At 45.8% G+C, this 21,376-nt stretch overlaps 1 long non-coding RNA gene across 1 annotated transcript, besides 4 other annotated features; it reads right to left on the minus strand.

Moving 5' to 3' along the window:
- Positions 3,374 to 3,483: an enhancer, noted in NCBI's record as "active region_8548". NCBI's record gives its function as "activates an Ori minimal core promoter by ATAC-STARR-seq in GM12878 lymphoblastoid cells {active_cell/tissue: GM12878}" and the evidence as "EXISTENCE:reporter gene assay evidence [ECO:0000049][PMID:35858748]".
- Positions 6,747 to 6,836: an enhancer, noted in NCBI's record as "active region_8549". NCBI's record gives its function as "activates an Ori minimal core promoter by ATAC-STARR-seq in GM12878 lymphoblastoid cells {active_cell/tissue: GM12878}" and the evidence as "EXISTENCE:reporter gene assay evidence [ECO:0000049][PMID:35858748]".
- LINC02324 (long intergenic non-protein coding RNA 2324) lies at positions 11,235 to 20,689 on the minus strand. Its single transcript, NR_103769.1, has 4 exons — positions 20,561 to 20,689; positions 16,849 to 17,037; positions 16,043 to 16,132; positions 11,235 to 12,268 (listed from the first exon to the last, which is right to left on the minus strand). It is a non-coding gene; the product is annotated as a long intergenic non-protein coding RNA 2324 (long non-coding RNA).
- Positions 11,580 to 12,130: an enhancer, noted in NCBI's record as "OCT4-NANOG-H3K27ac hESC enhancer chr14:65679956-65680506 (GRCh37/hg19 assembly coordinates)". NCBI's record gives its function as "activates a minimal SCP1, AML or CMV promoter by ChIP-STARR-seq in naive H9 embryonic stem cells {active_cell/tissue: H9 hESC(naive)}" and the evidence as "EXISTENCE:reporter gene assay evidence [ECO:0000049][PMID:30033119]".
- Positions 21,022 to 21,161: an enhancer, noted in NCBI's record as "active region_8550". NCBI's record gives its function as "activates an Ori minimal core promoter by ATAC-STARR-seq in GM12878 lymphoblastoid cells {active_cell/tissue: GM12878}" and the evidence as "EXISTENCE:reporter gene assay evidence [ECO:0000049][PMID:35858748]".

Consider the following 21,376-nt stretch of genomic DNA (forward strand, 5'->3'; position numbering starts at 1 on the left):
AACGAGTAAAAGAGAAAACAAAGGAGAAATTCTACTTTTCTTTGTTCTATAGTAGATCTCCTTTTAGTCCCAGCCTAGAACTATGCCCTTCATTCACTATTAGAGCTTGCATGTGTGTGTTTTCGGGTTTTTTTTTTGTTGGTTTTTTTTTTTTTTTCTTTGAGTAGCTGGGACTACAGGCGCCCGCTACCACGCCTGGCTAATTTTTTGTATTTTTAGTAGAGATGGCGTTTCACCGTGTTAGCCAGGATGGTCTTGATCTCCTGACCTCGTGATCCACCCACCTCAGCCTCCCAAAGTTCTGGGATTACAGGCATGAGCCACCACGCCCAGCCGTGTGTGTGTTTTTAATTTGCAAGACAAGATATACTTTATTGTGACAGCAAATACACATAATGCTGTAGGTAAGGCATGCTACTATAATATGTATCTGCATCGAATCAAAGGCTGGTGTGGAAATGAGTGGGAATGAATGCTGTTTCTTAATGCTTGAAGATTTAGTCCATGGTACCTGGAGGATAGAAAAGAGTTTGTGTTCACTTATTTGAAGTACAATATTATACCTAATTAGAGACCTTTGTCCTTGACCAAAAGCCCAAAGGCAAATAAGAGTAACCTAATCTTTTTTAAAACCTCTTTATTGAGTTATTATTGACGTACAAAAAGACATAGATATTTAATGCATGCAATTTGATGTGTTTGGGGAGTAGCATATGCCATGAAACCATCAAACCATCATCACTATCAATGTCATCAGCTTATCCATTAACCCCAAAAGTTTCCTGCTGCCCCTTTTGGTTTTTGTTTTTTTGAGACAGGGTCTGGTTCTGTCGCCCAGGCTAGAGGTAGTGGTGCAATCTTGGCTCACTGCAGCCTCAACCACCCAAGCTCAAGTCATCTTCCCACCTCAGCCTTCCAGGTAGCTGGAACTATAGGTGCTCACCACCAGTCCTGGCTAATTTTTGTATTTTTTGTAGAGACAGGGTTTTGCCATGTTGCCCAAGCTGGTCTCAAACCCCTGGGCCCAAGCAATCCTGCCGCCTCAGCCTCCCAAATTGCTGGGATTATAGACTTGAGCTACACACTGACTGTTTTTACTTTTCTTGTGCCTAATATTGAGAGGTGAAGCTAGCTGGACTTCCTGGGTCAAGTGGGAACTTGGAGAACTTTTCTGTATGGCTAAAGGATTGTAAATGCACCAATGAGCACTCTGTGTCTAGCTAAAGGATTGTAAATGCACCAATCAGCGCTCTGTAAAAATGGACCAATCAGCACTCTGTAAAATGGACCAATCAGCACTTGGTAAAACAATCAGCAGGATGTGGGCGGGGCCAAATAAGGGAATAAAAGCTGGCCACCCCAGCCAGCAGCGGCAACCAGCTCAGGTGTCCTTCCATGCTGTAGAAGCTTTGTTCTTTCGCTCTTCACAATAAATCTTTTTGCTTCTCATTCTTTGGGTCCGCACTACTTTTATGAGCTGTAACACTCACTGCGGAGGTCTGCGGCTTCACTCCTGAAGTCAACAAGACCATGAACCCACTGGGAGGGAGGAACAAACAACTCCTGACACGCTGCCTTTAAGAGCTGTAACACTCACTGCGAAGGTCTGCAGCTTCACTCCTGAAGTCAGCGAGACCATAAACCCACCGGAAGGAAGAAATTCTGGACACATCTGAACATCTGAAGGAAAAAACTCCGGACACACCATCTTTAAGAACTATAATAATCACCGCGAGGGTCTGTGGCTTCATTCTTGAAGTCAGTGAGACCAAGAACCCACCGGAAGTAATAAATTCTGGACACAATATTTCTACTTACTCTGTTTTGTCTTAGCGCCTTAATTATACGTATGGGGCTTGTCTTACATTCTTGGTCTGTCTGTTCAGTCCTGCTTTGGATACACTTATGGCTCATGGGGTTTGCTATTTGTCTTCTGAGGGAGTGACAATGCCCCACTTAGAGCATCTCATCCCTAAGCCACTGGCTGCTCACTCTGGTATCATGTGCATATATGAAAGTGTCCAAGGCCAGATCCTGGTCTGAGACATCTCCCCAGGGGGTTCACACGTTTTGTTGCTACTGCTGTGGTTGTTGGTTCCTGGAATCCCTGTTTCCCTCTATGGTCTCTCCAGCATGGATTTGGGAGAGGGAGCCGGCCACCCTGCTTACTGCCAACTTGGCAAGGACTGGGAGTGTTTTTCTGGCTCATTTCTGTTTCTTGTGTAACCTATCCGTGCTGCATTTTCTTTTTCTTTTCTGTTTTTTCAAGACGGAGTCTTGTTCTGTTGCCCAGGCTGGAGTGCAGTAACACGACCTCGGCTAACTGCAATCTCTGTCTCCCCGGTTCAGGTGATTCTCCTGCCTCAGCCTCCCAAGTAACTGGGACTACAGGCATGCGCCACCACGCCTGGCCAATTTTTTGTATTTTTAAGAGATAGGGTTTCACCATGTTAGCCAGGCTGGTCTCGAACTCCTGACCTCATGTGATCCACCTGCGTCGACCTCCCAAAGTGCTGGGATTACAGGTGTGAGCCACTGTGCCCAGCCATTTTCTCTTACTTGTAGATGGATGAAGCCTATGTTACTATAATTTGCTGAGTATGTGTATTTCTCCATTTTTATTGGTCCATTTCAATTCATTTGCAAAGGGCCAATCAACTGCTACTGTGTTTAATTCCAGAATCCTGCTAGTGGAGGTTTATAAACAAGGTATCTGTGAGGAGATGGGGATCTGAAGGGTGCCCTGCAGGGAAGCTTACTCGAGCCCTGGTTGGTACCTTGGTGACCCCAAGCCCCATGCAAATCATAATGTTGGCTTTTCTGGTGTGGCTACTCCCCACCCTAAGTCACACTGTTACTATCTGGCCAGCCTAAGACCCCCAGGCAAACAAAGATGACCTCCCGGGGGCCAAGGGTAAAGACTAGACCTCTTTGAGGGGCAAGGTTCAATTCTTTACTGCACAGGTAGGGAGACTTAGGCTGCAGCCCGGCTCTGAGAAAGGTTCAGCTGGGTGGAGGAGGAGTCTCTGGGCCAAAGCTGCCCTTTGGAGGAGTCCTGGATCTTGCAGAAATGGCCTGCTTAGTGCCCACCCCCTGCACCCCTGCTCAGCACTGGCTGGGAGTAAGCCTGGGGACTGTGGCTTCAGTGTGAATGTGGGGGTGGGGTGGATGCAGAGCAGTAGCATGTGGGGTATCCAGCCAGGCCTGCTCCACAGAGCAGGAGAGCAGAGCTGGGAAGGGACAGTGGGGATGTGATCTGTTAGCCTTCTGGCTGCAGCGCAGTGCAGACCTCCCTTGCCTGATATGACTGGGTCTCCACCTCTTCCACCCCAGTCTCCTGACTCCTGCAAAAAAAGAAAAGGGGGTGTGCAGGGCTGCCAAACACAGCCATGTCAGGGTGGGCCGGTCCCTGCATTGTGCGCCCACCTGCTGCTGCTGTGTTGTAGGGGAAACCGACCAAAGCACGTAGAGTTAGAACAAAACAAGAACATGGGCTGTGGAGACAGGCTGGCTTCCATGTGCCAGTCTCTCCTGCAGCTTCTGCTCTGGCTGCTGCTCTCTCAGGATCCCGTGCAGCTTTGCCTCGGCCTCACACAGGAGAGTTCTCACACGTAAGGTGGGCCTAGGGGCTGCGGCTCAGAGTCTCCTGTATTGGGATCATTACACATGTCCAGAGTGACAGCTGAGAGGAAAGGGTCCTTGCTTGTGTGCTCAGGAGATGGCTAGGGAGGAGCCACCCCAGGGGAGTTGCCACAGCCAGAATTGCTCTGCTAGGCCCTTCCCTGAAGAGACTTCAATTCTTTTATAGATTTCTCCTTCTTAAACCCAACAAGCTGTTTGGGCAAGAAACCAGGTGAAAGAAACTGAGATTATAGGGGAAGTGTGAAGTGTAGACCAATCATGTGGAACAAGGAAGGGGCGTGACTCAAAAACATAACGTGTGTGTGTGTGTGTGTGTGTGTGTGTGTGTGTGTGCGCGTGCTGACTGGCAGAGCTGGGCCTGCTCTTTATTTGGGAGCCTGCTTGCTACTTTCACCTGTGTTTTCAGCTTGTCTTAGTGCTTTTCTCTCTCATAGTCCAATCCCAGCCCAGCAGATGGTTCACTATGCTTTTAATTGAAGAATGAGGAGGAATCTTTGCACACTTAAAAAACATCCATGGCTGGGTACAGGGGCTAATGCCTGTAGTCCCAGAACTGGGAGGCCATGGCAGGAGGGCACTTGAGCCCAGGAATTCGAGGCTGTAGTGGGCTGCGATCACTGCACTCCAGCCCGGGCGAGAGAGTGAAACTCTATCTCAAAAAAACAAAACAAGATACCATCCAATCCTGGGCCAAGCCCCCACCAACACTGATCCTAAAGGAAAGAAAGCATGGCTGCAGCAGGCACAACAGGACACAGCCCCACCCTTGGAACATCGTGCTCCTGGGGACAAGACACTGGATGCGGAAGCTGGCATCCTAGAACTGACTTTTTCGTTGAGTATTATTACTGTGTTTCCTGGATTCTAAAACACTATTGATTGCAAGATGCACCATTATTCTTTTCTTTCAAATCTAGATCTGCAAACGCCATCATTTTAATAACTGCTTTTAGGCGGAGGAAAAGAAACACAACCACATCAAACGCATGCATCAACTGAAACACCCATCCTGATTTCGGGACCCTGAAAATAAGAAAAATACAGCGCATCTTAAAACTGAAATGGGAAAAAAAAAAAGGAGAACTTATAAAAACTAAATACAGAGGAGACTTTTTCTAATTCTGGAAATGAGATGCAAAACCAATACCCACATTTTGGAATCATAGTATGAGTAGGCTTTTTACCATGTATCACTGCTATTCCTTTTTTTTTTTTTTTGAGAGGAAGAAGGCGTGAGTTGACCTGGTATTACTCACCCAAAAGTGAGGCATTGGGGATATTTATATTCAGCAAGCAGTGCAGGGTTTAAACTGGTGAGTAGATATTTGCATCTTCTAACCACAAAAGTAAAATAAGAGAACTAACTGAAATTTCAGTTTTAGAATGATGATAGCTAATACTTGTGGAGCTCCTTTTTCTCCAGGCACTGCTCTAGGTCCTTTGAATGTATTAACTCATTTAACCCCATGAAAATCCTATGAGAAGGTGCAATGAACAGCTCTAGTCATAGGGATGGGAACAAGGAATCATAGAGATATTAAGCAGTGTGCTCAGGGTCCCATTGCTAGTGTATAGACTTGCACAAGGATAGTATGGCCCTATAGCCCCTCCTCTTAACTGCACTATACGGCCTCTACTAAAGCGTAAGTGAGGGAAATAGACCAAACAAAACTGAGAGTTTGTGGGTGGAGGAAATGCTGAGTTGGGCTAAAGGCAGGAGTATGCTGGTAAAGTGGCTCTTTTCTCCCACCCCAAATGCCCTAGTTCATAACATTTGCCAATTTCCTTGGTGTAAATACTTCCAACAGTGGCCGATTTCAAGACACCAACCTGCTGTTAAAATTCTGAGTGTTTAACAATTGCCTCTCTGGAGCCAGTATAAGCTGGCCCTAGCACGCCACTGGCTGAAAGTAATTGTCCAAATTAATATGCAGCGGTTTAGCCAGGAACGTTTTTTGTGTCATGTTAAATTAAGCCAACTGTGGGTGCGACTCTGCATGTGTGTTCAGGGCTTGGAAATTGTTTCTCCCCTTCTGCTTCTGTAACCACCCAAGGGGTTCACCTTGCCCGCTGCCTAGACAGAGCCGATTTATCAAGACAGGGGAATTGCAATGGAGAAAGAGTAATTCGCTCAGAGCTGGCTGTGTGGGAGACCTGAGTTTTATTACTCAAATCAGTCTCCCCAAGCATTCGGGGAGCAGAGTTGATGTTTGTTTTTTGTTTTGTTTTTTTTTTTAGACGGAGTCTTGCTCTGTCGCCAGGCTGGAATGCAGTGGAGCGTCCTCGGCTCACTGCAATCTCTGCCTCCCAGGTTTAAGCAATTCCCCTGCCTCAGCCTCCTGAGTAGCTAAGACTACAGGTGCGCACCACCACACCCAGCTATTTTTTTTTTTTTTTGTATTTTAGTAGAGACGGGGTTTCACCATGTTGGCCAGCATGGTCTCCATCTCCTGACCTCGTGATCCGCCCACCTCGGCCTCCCAAAGTGCTGGGATTACAGGCATGAGCCACCACACCCAAGAAGCAGAATTTTTAAGAACAACTTGGTGGGTTGGGGCTGGGCACAGTGGCTCATGGCTGTAATCCCAGCACTTTGGGAGGCTGAGGCAGGCAGATCATGAGCTCAGGAGTCGGAGACCAGCCTGACCAACATAGTGAAACTCCATCTCTACTAAAAATACAAAAATTAGCTGGGCATGGTGGCGTGCGCCTGTAATCCCAGCTACTCAGGAGGCTGAGGCAGGAGAATCACTTGAACCTGCGGGGGCAGAGTTTGCAGTTAGCCGAGATCGCCCCACTGCACTCCAGCCTGGGTGACAGAGGGAGACTCCGTCTCAAAAAAAAAAAAAAAAAAAAAAAAAGAACAACTTGGTGGGTTGGGGGTGGGGAGCCGGTGAGCTGGGAGTGCAGGTTGGTCAGGGATGAAATCATAGGGGGTTGAAGCTGTCTGCACCGAGTTAGTTCCTGGGTAGGAGCCACAAGATCACATGATTCAGTTTATCAGTCTGGGTGGTGCCAACTGATCCATCAAGTGCAGAGTCTACAAAATAGCTCAAACACTAATCTTAGGAGCAGTTTAGTGAGGGTCAGAATCTTGTAGCCTCCAGCAGCATGACTCCTACAACCATAATTTCTAGTCTTGTGGCTGTTAGTCCTACAAAGGCAATCTAGTCCCTAGGCAAAAAGGAGGTCTGCTTTGGGAAAGGGCTGTTACCGTCATCTTTGTTTTAAACTATAAACTACATTTCTCCCAGTTAGTTCAGCCTACGCCCAGGAATGAACAAGGACAGTTTGGAGGTTAGAAGCAAGATGGAGACAGATAAGTTAGATCTTTCTCACTGTCTCAGTCATAATTTTGGAAAGGCAGTTTCACTTCCCTACCACCAACCACGGGAGTGAGCCCCTTGCTGGACTCTGGGAAGGGTGGCTTCCTTGCTGGCCTCCCTGAGCGTCACAGAAGAAGCTGAGGACCAGAGTTCCCATTGGAAGGGGGGCAGTTGCCCAACTCAGGTTCAAGAAGGATCCGTTAGGCCGGGCGTGGTGGCTCACGCCTGTAATCCCAGCACTGTGGGGGGCCGAGGCAGGCAGATCACTTGAGGTCAGGGGTTTGAGACCAGCTTGGCCAACATGGTGAAACCGCGTCTCTACTAAAAATACAAAAATTATCTGGACGTGGTGATATGCACCTGTAATCCCAGCTACTCAGGAGGCTGAGGCACGAGAATCACTTGAACCCGGGAGGTGGAGGTTGCAGTGAGCCAAGATTGTGCCACTGCACTCCAGCCTGGGTGACAGAGGGAGACTCCATCTCAAAAACAAACAAACAAAACAAACAAACAAAAAAACAGAAGGATCGCTTAGTGGCTGCCTGAGTGCCTCCTTCCTGAAGCAGAGTGGCAGTAATGGAATTAGATATAAAGTAAGAGCAACTACCAGGTTAAACAAGGGGGAAAGGGTCTCTGAAGTGGTGAAGCTGAGGGGCCAGGAGGAGACTGGTGAGCTGCGGCCAATGAGGGGAAGAGGGCAAACCCTAAAAAGCTAAAGAACTGGAAAAAGGACAACTGTAGAAACAGTCACAAAGTAGGGTCACAAACCCAGATACCTACATAAGCCAGTCAGATAATTTAAGTGGGCAAATTGGACAAGGTATGATAAATAAGGAGTGATGGGGACTGTGAAAAACTGTAAATACACACCCTGCCAGAAGACCTCAAAGGTTTGTTTTAAGTTTTTAATTTAAAATTTTTTTAACATTGTAGACCAAACAAAACAGATCCGCAACCTGGATGCAGGCCTTGACTTTGTGAGTTGTCACAAAGGCCCTCTTCCAAAGGTTTTGGATGACAGTTGCCCCTGCTCCTCATTTGAGGCACTGGGGTACCAGGGATGGGGCAGCCAGCGGGATCCATCCATCCCAGGTGCAGGCTATAAGGGATGCATTGTCTGTAGCGAATTTTAAAACAAACTAAAATCCAGTCTGCTTTTTATTTTCACCACATGCTGGCAATTCTAAACAGTTACAGTAATAAAAATATTCCTCCTTGAAAAAAATCTTGTTCCCTAAGTTCTAAATAATTGTTATGGCTGCTGTTGAGTTTTAACAATGGAGGCTTTAAATTAATGCATTTAAATAACATCTATTAATGATCATTATATTCTATATAAGACATTAATTTGAAAAATTAATCCTTGACTCAAGTGGATTCACCCACAATTTGTTTCCAGAGTAAGTACCTAATAATTTGGAATCTCTGGGTTCTAAACCCTGTGGAACTGAAACTGCCCCAGTAGTCCCATTGATAGTTTTTTGGATACATGTAGAAATTGACCCTTCTGGATTGAAACTTACATTTGTTCTTCCTGGGTTCTTTCCTCAGGAAATGACCTTCAGGCCTCTCAAAAAAAAAAAAACCTCAAAAACCTCAAAGAACTGAAACTCCCCAGATCACCACATCCAGACAGTGAGATGCCAGGACCCCTCATTCATCATCACTGCTTCCCTTGCCCCTCCCTAGTTCCTGTTTTCTTACACATTGTTTCATTTCTTCCCTGCTATATAAACCCCTGGGTTTTGGTCAGTCAAGGAAATGGATCTGAGACTGAGCTCCCATCTCCCCAGCTGCAGCACCCAATTAAAGTCTTCCTTGGCAATGCTCACCTATCATCGTCTCAGTGATTGCCTATCTGTGCGTCAAGCAGCAAGACCTAGACCGAACCCCTGGTGTTTTGGTAACAGAACCATATATTCCTATGCTTAAACAATAGATTGAAAATAAACCATGCTAGGCATAATTGTAACATGAAGAAACAGGATCTTAGTTTCTATTCTGTTCTTCCGCATGACCATGGCCAGAGGAACTCAAAAGGCAAGTTTAAATGCTTTGATTGTTTTCAAGAACTGGATGCTTGTTCTAAAGCAACAGATCAAATAATACCAATATTTACTGCCACATAGCCATTTTCTGATTCTTCCAGAAGAAAAATTTCAGAAGTTTATCAATGACAATAGAAATGTGTGGTGAATTTTCTGGTGAAGATATTCTAGTAGAAGTTTTTTGACTGTGGAGATATTTGAAAGTAGTCATAATTGACCCCAAAGAAACATTTACATGGACAGTCTTACAACTTCTGAAATTAATTGCAAAATGGAATTTTTGAGTCTCTGACAGACCTACTCTTGTTTAAAACTTCCTATTTGTATATCTGCTGACTCATGTAAAAGAGATTTTTTTTCTGAATTAAAATTAACAATTAACTATGATGGAAGAGACATCAACAAACTGCCAATTGAACATGAGTATGTGAAGATCAATTTTGACAAAATCTTCAATAAATTTGTAGAGGTTAAGTCTCAGAAACTGCAATATTGTTCATTGCTGTCACAGACAAATATGTATGTATATTCCAGTTTTTAAAAGTACTGGTGTAATGAAAATGTATCAATCCATTACTTTTTTCTTTTTTTTACATTTTAACATTTATTTACTTATTTTTGCTATCATGGTTATATCTAAAGCTCAATAAAAGGAAAGTTTTTTTTGCCTGTGTTCCTTTTCTGGCCATTACTCCAGCAGTCTTCCCTTCTCTGTGGTTTTGCTTTCTGCAGTTTAGGTTACCTGTAGTCAACTGTGGTCTGAAAATATTAAGTGGAAAATTCCAGAAGTAAACAATTTATAGGTTTTAAATTGTGCACTGTTCTGAGAAGCATGATGAAATCTTGCACTGTTTCACTTTGTCCCTCCCAGCTGGGATATGAATCATCCCCTCTTCCAGCGTATCCAAACTATACAGTGTGTATGCAAAGGAAAAAACAGTGTATATAGGGTTCAGTACTATCTTCGGTTTCAGGTATCCACTGGGGGGGGGGGGTCTTAGAACATATCCCCTATGGATAAGGAGGGCCTATTGTATTATTTGTTTAATCGCATCATTACTGCTGAATGTTGTCACATAGAGGAGGGGATGTTAAAAATGATCTACCCACACTGTCCCTGGTATGTCACTGCTCTAGGGTCTGCCCCAGCCTTTTGTGGTGGACAGACAGCCTCTGGGCTGGACTAAGCCAAGCAGCAGGAACTCCTGAGTCTCTCTAGTGCAGGGATCATATGTGGAAAGGGTTATCCCACAACATTCTTTTTTTTTTTCCTTTCCTTTCCTTTTTTTTTTTTTTTAAATGGAGTCTTGCCTGTCGCCTGGGCTGGAGAGCAGTGGCATGATCTCAGCTCATACAACCTCTGCCTCCCAGGTTCAAGCGATTCTCCTGCCTCAGCCTCCCAAGTAGCTGGGATTACAGGCACCTGCCACCACACCCAGCTAATTTTTTGTATTTTTAGTAGAGACGGAGTTTCACCATGTTAGCCAGGCTGGTCTCAAACTCCTGACCTTGTGATTTGCCTGCCTCAGCCTCCCAAAGTGCTGGGATTACAGGCGTGAGCCACCACACCCGGCCCACAACATTCTATTTAAAACTTTATCCAACATAGAAATAGTTTTGAGACAATCTAATCCTGACCACTCAGTCGCTTGATTTGAGAGTCCATCTTGGCAGCACAGAATGGGCTCTGGAGCAACCATGGAACTTCTGGTATTTAAACGTTTGATTCCATGGCCAAAGAGTGGTGGGTCTTATTCCCATTCTAGAGAATAAAAATATTGTGGGGGCCTTTAGCCACCACCCCAGATGGGTGACTTGGGAGCTTATACTGGCACAGTGCTCTAACATTGGGCAGAGTGTTGGAGATGACTTTGTTCTCCTGATGGCTCCTGGCCCCTAGACAGACCATTTTACTGCTGGCTCCATCAAAGATAACCCTTGAAGAATGGGAGAGTGCAGGGCAGAGCTCAGGCAGTGAGGATGACCACTAAACTAGCCCTGGCAGACATGGTAAGGCTGGCCTCTCTTATGGCCAGCCCTAGGTGGGCAGGGATGGTGACTTTCTCTGAGAAATAACTTAAAAGTGGCCCAGGATAGACACACCCCACCCCAGCAAGGCCTGAAATTCTCATCATTGCAGTCACTCCATTGAGGTATTATCAATACTACTATTGCTGTGTAAACCAAAATGTGTCTGAGTCTCAATCAATTTAGAAGTTTATTTTGCCGAGAATAAGGACATGCCTCAGGAGGTCCTGACGACATGTGCCCAAGGTGGTCAGGCTACAGCTTGGTTTTATATATGTTAGGGAGAAATAAGACATCAATTAATATCTAAGATGTACATTGGTCAGGTCTGGAAAGGCAGGACAGCTCGAAGAGGTGTGGGGAGGAGAACTTTCAGGTCACAGGTGCATTCAAAGATTTTCCCAGGGCAATTGATTAAAAGAGTTTATCTAAAAGTATGGAATCCATAGAAGGGACTATCTGAGTTAAGATAAGGGGTTATGGAGACCAAGGTTCTTATTATGCAGATGAAGCCTCCAGGTAGCAGGCTTCAGAAAGAGTAGATAGTAAATGTTTCTTATCAGACTTAAAAGGTGCCAGACTCTTAGTTAATTCTCTCCTGGATCAGGGAAAAGATGTGGAAAGGGAAAGGGATTCTCTACTGAATGTAGATTTCCCCCACAAGAGACAGTTTTGCAGGGCCATTTCAAAATATGTGAGTAAAAGAATAGAGTATTTTGATTTCTTCAGGGCCTGTTGTCATGTGATGCTATATTAGAGTCAGGCTGGAATTTGGTGTCTTATTGCCACAGTCTTAAGATCTCTTTTTTGATGTTAATGCTGGTCAGTTGTGCCTGAATTCCACAGGGAGGAGGGTATAATGGGGCATGTACAACTCCTGTTCCCACTGTGGCCTGAACTAATTTTCCAGGTTAACTTTGGAATGCCCTTGGCTGAGAGGAGGGGTCCATTCAGATGGTTGGGGGCCTTAGAATTTTATTTTTAAGGAGGCTGATGTGGGCAGATCACCTGAGGTCAGGAGTTCAAGACCAGCCTGGCCAACATGGTGAAACCCTATCTCTACTAAAAACACAAAAATTAGCCGAGCATGGTGGTGGGCGCCTGTAATCCCAGCTACTCAGGAGGCTGAGGCAGGAGAATCACTCGAACCCAGGAGGTGGAGGTTGCAGTGAGCCAAGGTCACGCCATTGTACTCCAGCCTGGGAGACAAGAGCGAGATTCCATCTAAAAAAAAAAAGAATCTTATTTTTAGTTTACAGCTACTACCACAGGTTATTCTGCTTCCTAGATACTCATGTAAATGGACAAAAGTGCCACCTGGAGGAACTGCTACATTCACCCTCAAAATGACAAGGAAGACCAGCTCCTCGTTAGCCAGCCTGGTCATTCAGGGGCCATGGAGGCCAGGGGTGCACAGCAGGGGTGGGCTAGTGGGGAGTCTCAGATAAGGGGAGATTTGGGACATTTGGGCAAGATGAAGAGAATACTTGCAGGAGAGGAAAGGTCTGGACTGCCTAGGCTGGGGGCCATGCCTGGGGCCTAGGGACAGGATAGCACTGTCCTGACTGCCTTGACTGGTTCACTCCAGGCATCTAAAATTGTCATGTGCCAGGGAGATCGGGAAGTGGCATGAAGATATTCCAAAGGCAACTGATTTCTTCTTGGAAGTGGTTAAAGTTATTGATTTAAGTCATGACAGGCTCAAGGGCACTAAGAGAGTCTCTCAAAAGGAAATCAAACTGTTTCTCCAGGCGACTATTGGTTTTTATTTAGGCAGGGGTCTAATCTATTGTGAAAGCCACTGGGTCTCGCCTCTGGAGCAATCTGGGGAGACCTATAAAGTTTATTGATTTGACTTACTTAACTTACACTGGCTTATAATAAAACAACTAGACCCATCAATCAGTCCCCCAGACCCCCGCCAAGAGCATGATTACAGAGTGGATTGATTCTTCCTCTGAGATGGCAGCTTATGGGAAAGCACTGAGAGGGTTGGGGCAGTAGATGCTGCCCCATGCTGGGGCTTGGTCCATCCCGGGGCTCGGTCCATCCCTTTACATTGCACAGTGACATTCTAAGGCAGCACACCAGGGGAGGCCACTCCTCCACCCAGGCGAGGGACCTAGGACAGGGCCAGGAGTTCTCTGGGAATAGCCTCCAGTGACCTCTCTGGACAGCAAAGAGCTAGACAGCCCCATCAGGCAGGTGGTGGAGAGCTGCAAGATTTATCTTTGTCAGGTGAGAAAAAGCAGAATGAGGATATTGACAGAGAGCAAGGAGGAAGGGGTGTATGCAAAGGGCAGACAGCCAAGACAACTGAGCAGGGCCTTCCAGAGGACATACTGCAGGCCTGCCTCTGTGCCAAGTGGAAGGACCTGCAGGGGGAGAGGAGGAGGACTCATTCAAGCCAATTCACTGGTATTTCTCTTGCTTCCAGAAATAAGGCATGTCCTTCCCTGGGGTTATCTGCAGTCTTGTTGGAGAGGCAAGATGTTCCCATTTGAATGAGATTATGACGTGAGACCTGAACTAGGCTTCCCTAATTCAAGAAGAGTAGAGGGGAGTTGGATGAGTAAATCCATCTCCTAAAAGTGTAGCATCCAGTGTCTGATTGGGCACAGAAACACTTAAGTACTAAGAGGTAATATGTGTGTGGTTAAATTTCAGAGCTCTGGACTCAATGTGTGGGTTTAAGCCTGGGCTCCACCGATATTATCCACATGGGCAAGTAACTTAACATCCGTGAGTCCCTCTCTTGTTGTTGTTGTTGTTGTTTGTTTGTTTGTTTTTTTGAGATGGAGTCTTGTTCTGTTGCTTAGGCTGGAGTGCAGTGGTGTGATCTCAGCTCACTGCAGCCTCTGCCTCCTGGATTCAAGACATTCTCCTGCCTCAGCCTCCCGCGTAGCTGGGACTACAGGCATGTGCCACCACACCCGGCTAATTTTTTTGTATTTTTAGTAGAGATGGGGTTTCACCATGTTGGCCAGGCTGGTCTCAAACTCCTGACCTCAGGTGATCCGCCCACCTTGGCCTCCCAAAATGCTCGGATTACAGGTGTGAGCCACTGCGCCTGGCCTCTCGTTTTTTTTGTTTTTGTTTTTTTTTTAAAGACAGGGTCTCACTCTGTCGCCCAGGCTGGAGTGCAGTGGCAAGATCTCAGCTCACTGCTGCCGCCTCCAACTCCTGGGCTCAAGGGATCCTCCTGCCTCAGCCTCCTAAGTAGCTGGGACTACAGGTGCACACCACCATGCTCAGCTAATTTTTATTTTTTTTGTAGAGGTAGTGTCTCTCTATGTTGCCTAGGCTGGTTTCAAACTCCTGGGTTCAAGTGATCCTCCTGCCTGCCTCTGTGAGTCTTAATCTCCTCATGTATAAAGTAGGGATATCAGTAGTACCTAATAATGATAGTAATAATAATGGTATTTAATAATATCAGTGCTATAATAGTATTAGTTAATAATATAGTATTACTAATAGTAGTAGTACTTAATAATAGAACCTATTTGGAAAAGTAATTGTAAAGATTAAATAAAGTTAATGTTTGTAAAGCACTTAAGCACAGTGTCTCATGCATAGAAAACGTTCCATCAGTGACTGTCACTGCCATCATTATTATTATGAGTGCTGGTAGTAATGGCATTCAGATTACCACCAGGTTCTCGCGAGCTCTTATTCCTCAGACTATCTGGGGGGAAAAGGGGCAAAAAGAGATTCTCTCTCCATCCTAAGGGAGATCACATAGGGAACAATATTCAAGGTATGAGCTTGCTTTCCCCTAAAGGAAATAACTTCCATGAAGTTCTCTCTTTACCTTCTCAGCCCCAGCATGTTCTCCCTGTCCTCCTCCCTCTTGGAGCCCACGTGAGCCCCCTCCTCAGGAAGACTTCCCCTACAGCTCCGGTCACCACCCTCCTTCCCCCACTGAACCTATCGGCTCTCCTCGGGTGGGAAGTCAGAGGACCGACTCCTGTCCTGTTGAGTCTCTTTCAGGGCAGGGCTGTGTCTTCCCAATGTGTTTGTCTCTCAAAAGCAAGAACTGGGCAGAGCACATGCTCCATAGACCTTAGATGAATCGAACCTTATTGAGACTGCAAACTGGTTCTCTGCCAAGACTGAAGCGTTTGTGCTCTCTCTCCCAATCCACCCTCCAAGTGTTTTCCCATCAAGATCATTGTCTGCACTGCAGTCAGAGTCATTTTATAATGAACCTATGGAACTGATCCCACAACCTCCTGGAACCCAGGCACCCTGTGGGGTCCTGCCCCGACTCTGTGAACCTCCCAGGACGGTGCCAGTGGGTAGGCTGGGCATCAGTGGATGACAAAAGGGAAGCAGCTTCCACTGCTTCAGGTCCAGACTTTGATCAATTTCCAGCCTCTTCAGGCTGTTCCCAAAGAGGTGGCCACCCTAATGCCAATAAGTCTTAATAAGTTTCCACTTAAGTGATCAGAGTACCAGTGAAACATGACAGCTGAGACTAATTGGAGTCTGTGTGGGAGGAGGGAGGATGACACCCCTTCTTGATCTTCTTGTGGCTTTCCTTCAGGGGTGGGGGCCCCCCCAAATCCCTTTTTGTTTCCTTGGTTTTCAACAATTGCCTATCTGGGAAGCAGATTATTGGAATCATTTCTGTACCTCCCACTGCCCCTGTTTTGATCTGTAACCCACAGGGTTAGGCTTAGGAAGGGAAATTAGCAAGAGATATATCTCAGGATGATTAGAGAGAGGCTCGGCCCATCAGGAGAGATGACAACAGAATGAGGAATGCCTACATCCAGAATATACCATCTTAAACATCATGCACGGACAGGCATACACAGGCCAAGGACAGCCAGTCATATTAGGAATGATAAGAGTGAGGCACGGCCCTAAGTCCCCATTTAGGGGACTTCATGGAAAGGCATTTTGGCCCAGATGTCATGGAAATTGCTCTAAACACAGGGTGATTATCTCCTCAAGCCCATGAGATCCTCTTTGAATTACATGTGTAGCCCTTACCTAGAACCTGAAGGGCAGGAGTTGGAGGCCCAGGAGCCCAGTGAGGAGGTGAACAAGGGTGTTCCACTGCGCAGCCAGTTAGTTTAGAACCTGCAGGGCAGAGGTAAATTATTTCTGACCTTTATGGGGCCTCCACTTATAATGGGGCCTCCCCTAAAGTCACCATTGGAGAACCAGCAGGGATTTAATGAGGAGAGAAAACAGCTTTGAGCCTTGGACTTGAAGTACCCTACAGAATAAATAGGTTGGCTGGGCACAGTGCCTCAGGCCTGTAATCCCAGCACTTTGGGAGGCTGAGGCGGGTAGATCACCTGAAGTCAGGAGTTCAAGACCAACCTGGCCAGCATGGTGAAACCCCGTCTCTACTAAAAATACAAAAATTAGCCAGATGTGATGGCGGGCACCTGTAATCCCAGCTACTCAGGAGGCTGAGGCAGGAGAATCACTTGAACCCAGGAGGCAGAGGTTGCAGTGAGCTGAGATTGCACCACTGCACTCCAGCCTAGGTAACAGAGCAAGACTCTATCTCAAAAAAAAAAAAAAAAAAAAAAAGAGAGAGAGAATAAATAGGTTGAAGAAACTCAGACCAAAGACAATTCTTTGGGGATTCAACAAAGGCATATCTAATAGTGCTGGCTCCACACAGCAACAGTTTCACAAAGGGACACCTAACCTTTTGTGATACTGTGAGATGAAAAATAAGCCACTCTCCAGTGCAATACCGGGGCACCTTGAGTGATATTTACAAGCACCTTCAGAGCTGGGAAAAGGAGCAAACGTTCCTCACTTACCCTCCAGCTAGTTACCTTTTGCTTTTTCCTGAGCTGACAAAAGTTTCAGGGTTAATAAGCACTCAGAATGGAGGCAAATGGAACTTCCAGAAGCAGTATTTCTGCAGGTTGGTTGGGATTAGCCATGGTATCTCAGAGGTCAAGAAATACACGGATCATGTCCATTTCTCAAGGCTCCTTGTATTTTTTTTTTTTAAAGGAGAACTATCAAAAGAGAATTGTAAAAATTGTGATTTTTGGAAACTTTACATTTCATAAATTGATACATTTGAACAGCAAAGGCACTGAGTTATTTTGCAAGACAATTATAGAACTTTTGAAAATATTTATTTATAAGGGACCACACGCAGTTTGATCTGAGGATGAGGACACAAGTTTGAGCTGTTTGAAGAACATCTTTCAATGTTGTTGTTATTGTGGCTCTGAGACTTCTACGTATAACTTCATTTGGAGATGAGTCAAAATCTTAAATTTGAGGCCTTTACCTGGCCTGGGATAAATGGGATGAATTGCTTCCCTAACCCTTCATTTCTCTCCCACCACGATAGCCCCCAGTTTAGCAGAAGTAAACAGTTTATACAAATGCAGCATTTGATAAAGATTCAGAAGTCTTAGATAATATTTAAAAAAGATTCCTTTGTTGAATTAGATAAATTGTATTTATTTATTTTTATTTTTGTCTCCCAACCCCAGCTCCCACCACCCCTTCCTCCTTCTGGCTCTATTTTTTTTTTTTATTTTTCATTTTTGAGACAGGGTCTTGCTCTGTCGCCCAGGCTGGAGGGCAGTGGTGCGATCTCAGTTCACTGCAACCTCTGCCTCCCAGGCTCAAACAGTCCTCCCACCTCAGCCTCCCAAGTAGCTAGGACCACAGGCATGTGCCACCACACCTGGCTAGTTTTTGTATCTTTTGTGGAGACAGGGTTTCACCATGTTGCCCAGGCTGGTTTCAAATTCCTGAGCTCAAGTGATCCACCTCCCTTGGCCTCCCAAAGTGCTGGGATTACAGGCTGAGTGACTATGCCTGGCCTTATTTTTATTTATTTATTTATTTATTTATTTATTTATTTATTTATTTAGAGACAGGGTCTAGCTCTGTTGCCCAGGCTGAAGTGCAATGGAATGATCTTGGCTCACTGCAACCTTTACCTTTCGGGCTCAAGCAATCCGACCACCTCAGACTCCTGAGTAGCTGAAACTACCGGAGTGTGCCACCACGTTCAGCTAACTTCAATTTTTTGTAGAAATGAGGTCTCACTATCTTACCCAGGCTGCTCTCCAACTCCTGGGCTCAAGTGATCCTCCTGCCTCAGCCTCCCGAAGTGCTAGGATTATACTGTGAGCCACTGGGTGAACCACTGGGCGAGCCACTGGGCCTGGCCTGAGAAATTTTAAAGAAGGAATTATTATGGCTTCTGGGATAGTATTTTGGGGGTCCTTTTTACCTCTAAGGCCCAAATATCAAGCATTGAGAATGAGATTCAGTTACACACCCGTGTTTCCGCAGAAAGCCTAAAAAGACTTCGAGATGAAATGCCAAGCAGAGGGAAATTGTCATTCCTAAGCTTATATGTAGGCGACACCACCGTGAATCACTTCAGAGCTTGGGTCTCCGTGTCTCTTATTCCAGCTGCGCCCAGTTCTGTGGGGCACCTACCAGTTCCCACAAGTGCAGTTGACCACGAACCATCTCAGGCCCACTCTTCCCTTGCTTTCTACCTTTGAGTCTCTGAGTGACAATGCAAGTGGGACCATCACGGTAGCCTGCTTCGTACTCACACTTGGGGGAGAGAGACACCCATGGAGAGAGCCTTTGGTGTGCGGTGTGTGAAGCAAGGGAGAAATGCTAGTCCCTCTCTTTGCTCTCTGGTTGGCACTGAGGCACCTTTTGAGCTCCTCCACGGGCCCCTGAGATTGGACCAGCAGGAGCCTGCGGACGAGGCTGCCTCAACACCACAGCTCTGTATTGGTTCTTTTTTCTTCTCTTTGCCTCTCCACTCTCTCACTTCTGCTCCTTCAGTCACATTGCTCAGGAAAGAGTTTGCAATTTAGGCCTGTTTTAGGCTTTGCTTTCTGGAAAACCCAGAACACTTTTCATACCAACTGGTGGTGTATTTGATCTTCCTTTTACTGTTTTCTTGCAACTGAGTTTTTTGAGCCCAAATGCAAGATTTGACATTGAGATTTGTTACATGCCATCAATGCAATTTTTTTTTTAAATTCTGATTTTGCCATTTAACAGTGCGAGCTGTCCTTCCTAGCCTTGAGTTATCTACAAATTTGCTCATAAAATTTATTGACTGTTAAAATCTATTACTGGTCAACCTCTGTAACCCCATCTCATGCTTCACCCTCCTTGCTAACTACCCTCCAGCAGCCCCACCTCCAATCAGGTGCGCAAATGGGCCAAGCTCTTCCTGCCCAGGGTCTTGTACTTGTTATTCTTTCTGCTTGAAATCCTCTTTCCTCGGGCTCTGCACATGGACATCTCCTTGTTATACTTTAAAACTCAGTCTAAATGACACTTCTCGAAGAGGATTTCCATGTCTATTGTGTTTCTGTCATAGCACATACCCCAAGCCATGAGTACTATGCCTCATTTATTAGTTTGTTTTTTTGTTTGTTTGTTTGAGATGGAGTCTTGCTCTGTCACCCAGGCTGGAGGGCAGTGGCGCATTCTCAGCTCACTGCAACCTCCGCCTCCCAGGTTGAAGTGATTCTCAGGCCTCAGCCTCCCAAGTAGCTGGAATTACAGGCACACACCACCATGCCCAGCTAATTTTTGTATTTTTAGTAGGGATGGGGTTTCGCCATGTTGGCCAGGCTGGTCTTGAACTCCTGGCCTCAAGCGATCTGCCCACTTTGGCCTCCCAAAGTGCCGAGATTATAGGCATGAGTCACTGCACCCAGCCTAGTTTGCTTTTTATTGTCCATCTTCCTAATTAGGGTGAAATCTACAAGAAGGCAGGGCTACTGTCCATTTTCTTCACTGCTGGATCTCCGGCACATAGCCCTGGTTCTGACACCTGCCAGGGGCTTGATAAATATTTGCATCACCCACTCCACTTGTGCACTAGATGCCACCTCCCCTCACCTCCTCGAGGCATCTCTCCACCGGTCCCTCCTCTCTTGTGCATCATCATTTCTCCCACTTTCCTGGATCATTCCCCTCTGCAGACAAATGTGCTGTAATTTCTCCTATCTTAAAAAACAAAACAGATAGACAAAAAATCTTCTCTTGGCCCACATCCTCTTTCAGCCAACACGCTGCACATTTTATTTATTGCCTATCTCCTCCACTAGGGAAGAAGCTCCATGAGGGAATGGCTTGTGTCTGTTTTGCTTATTGCTGTATCCCTAGTACTTCAAAAGTGCCTGGTGCATAACAATTTTTGAGTTGATTGAATAAATCCTTTTGTGGAATAAATGAATAAAACAGTAAAGCCTTTTTCAATCAATAGAGAGAAAAATCAGTCTTATATCTTGAGCAATGTCTAAATAACTTAAAAGATCAAGATGGAGGCTGGGCACAGTGGCTCACGCCTGTAATCCCAGCACTTTGGGAGGCCGAGACGGGAAGATTGCTTGAGCTCAGGAGTTTGAGACCAGCCTGGACAACATAGTGACCCTGTATCTACAAAAAATAATTAATAAGAAAAGATCAACATGGAACCAAAAAACAAATATACATAGGACAGCTCTATAAAGATATGTAGCAGGTACTTACTGTGTATGTGTATTTTCCATTCTCTGCCTTCTAATATGAAAAGGTTGACAGGATAGTTTGAGGGAGAAAGGAAAATTTGCCATAGATTCCTCAGCATCAGGATAACCTCATTGCCTTAGGGCAAAAAATGAAGCCCAGAGGTAGTGACTTTTCCCAAACTCAGTGTCCTCCCTTCTAAGGGCTTAGGGCATAATCTTCCACAAAACACATCCGGATTGCTAACTCACAGTAAAGGAAAAGTTCTTACGTTTACATAGAACCCAGATGCCAGGAATTTTCTAGAAAATGGACGTGCAGTAATAGTGCCGGCCAGGAGATGGCGACGCGCCTTTCTGTCCAGGAGGACTACACTCTACGTGGCACTGAAGGACTGGGAGAGAAGGTTGGGGCCTCCTGGGGCCAGCCAGGGGCCTCTGGGGGAGGATGGCCTAGAAAACAGGGCTCTGCTTCAGAAGGCTCATTCTTGTTGGCGGGGCCCCCATGAGTAAAATAGTTGTTGTTGAATATGACACATTGTTAAGGCCTCAGATGCAAGAGCAATTACAAGTCCAGGGTGGTTGGCAGGTCTACAGTCAGGATATTTAACTCAAATTCAGGGAGTCTGAAAATCTAGGACAGCTCCTTGGCAACCCCGGACTGACAGATCTTTTGTTCGACTTTTCCTAGGTTTAGGCAACAGCCTCTGAGAGCCCACTAGATTTCCTCCAACATGGAGACTCAACCTAGCCAACATTCTACCACAAGAATCAGTACCTGGGCTTTGGGGTCCACCAACGCTTAAAATTGAGTAACTGAGTGCAAGGGTTGCAGGTAGGC

Source organism: Homo sapiens, chromosome 14 (assembly GCF_000001405.40).
Source record: "Homo sapiens chromosome 14, GRCh38.p14 Primary Assembly".
Lineage (NCBI taxonomy): Eukaryota > Metazoa > Chordata > Mammalia > Primates > Hominidae > Homo > Homo sapiens.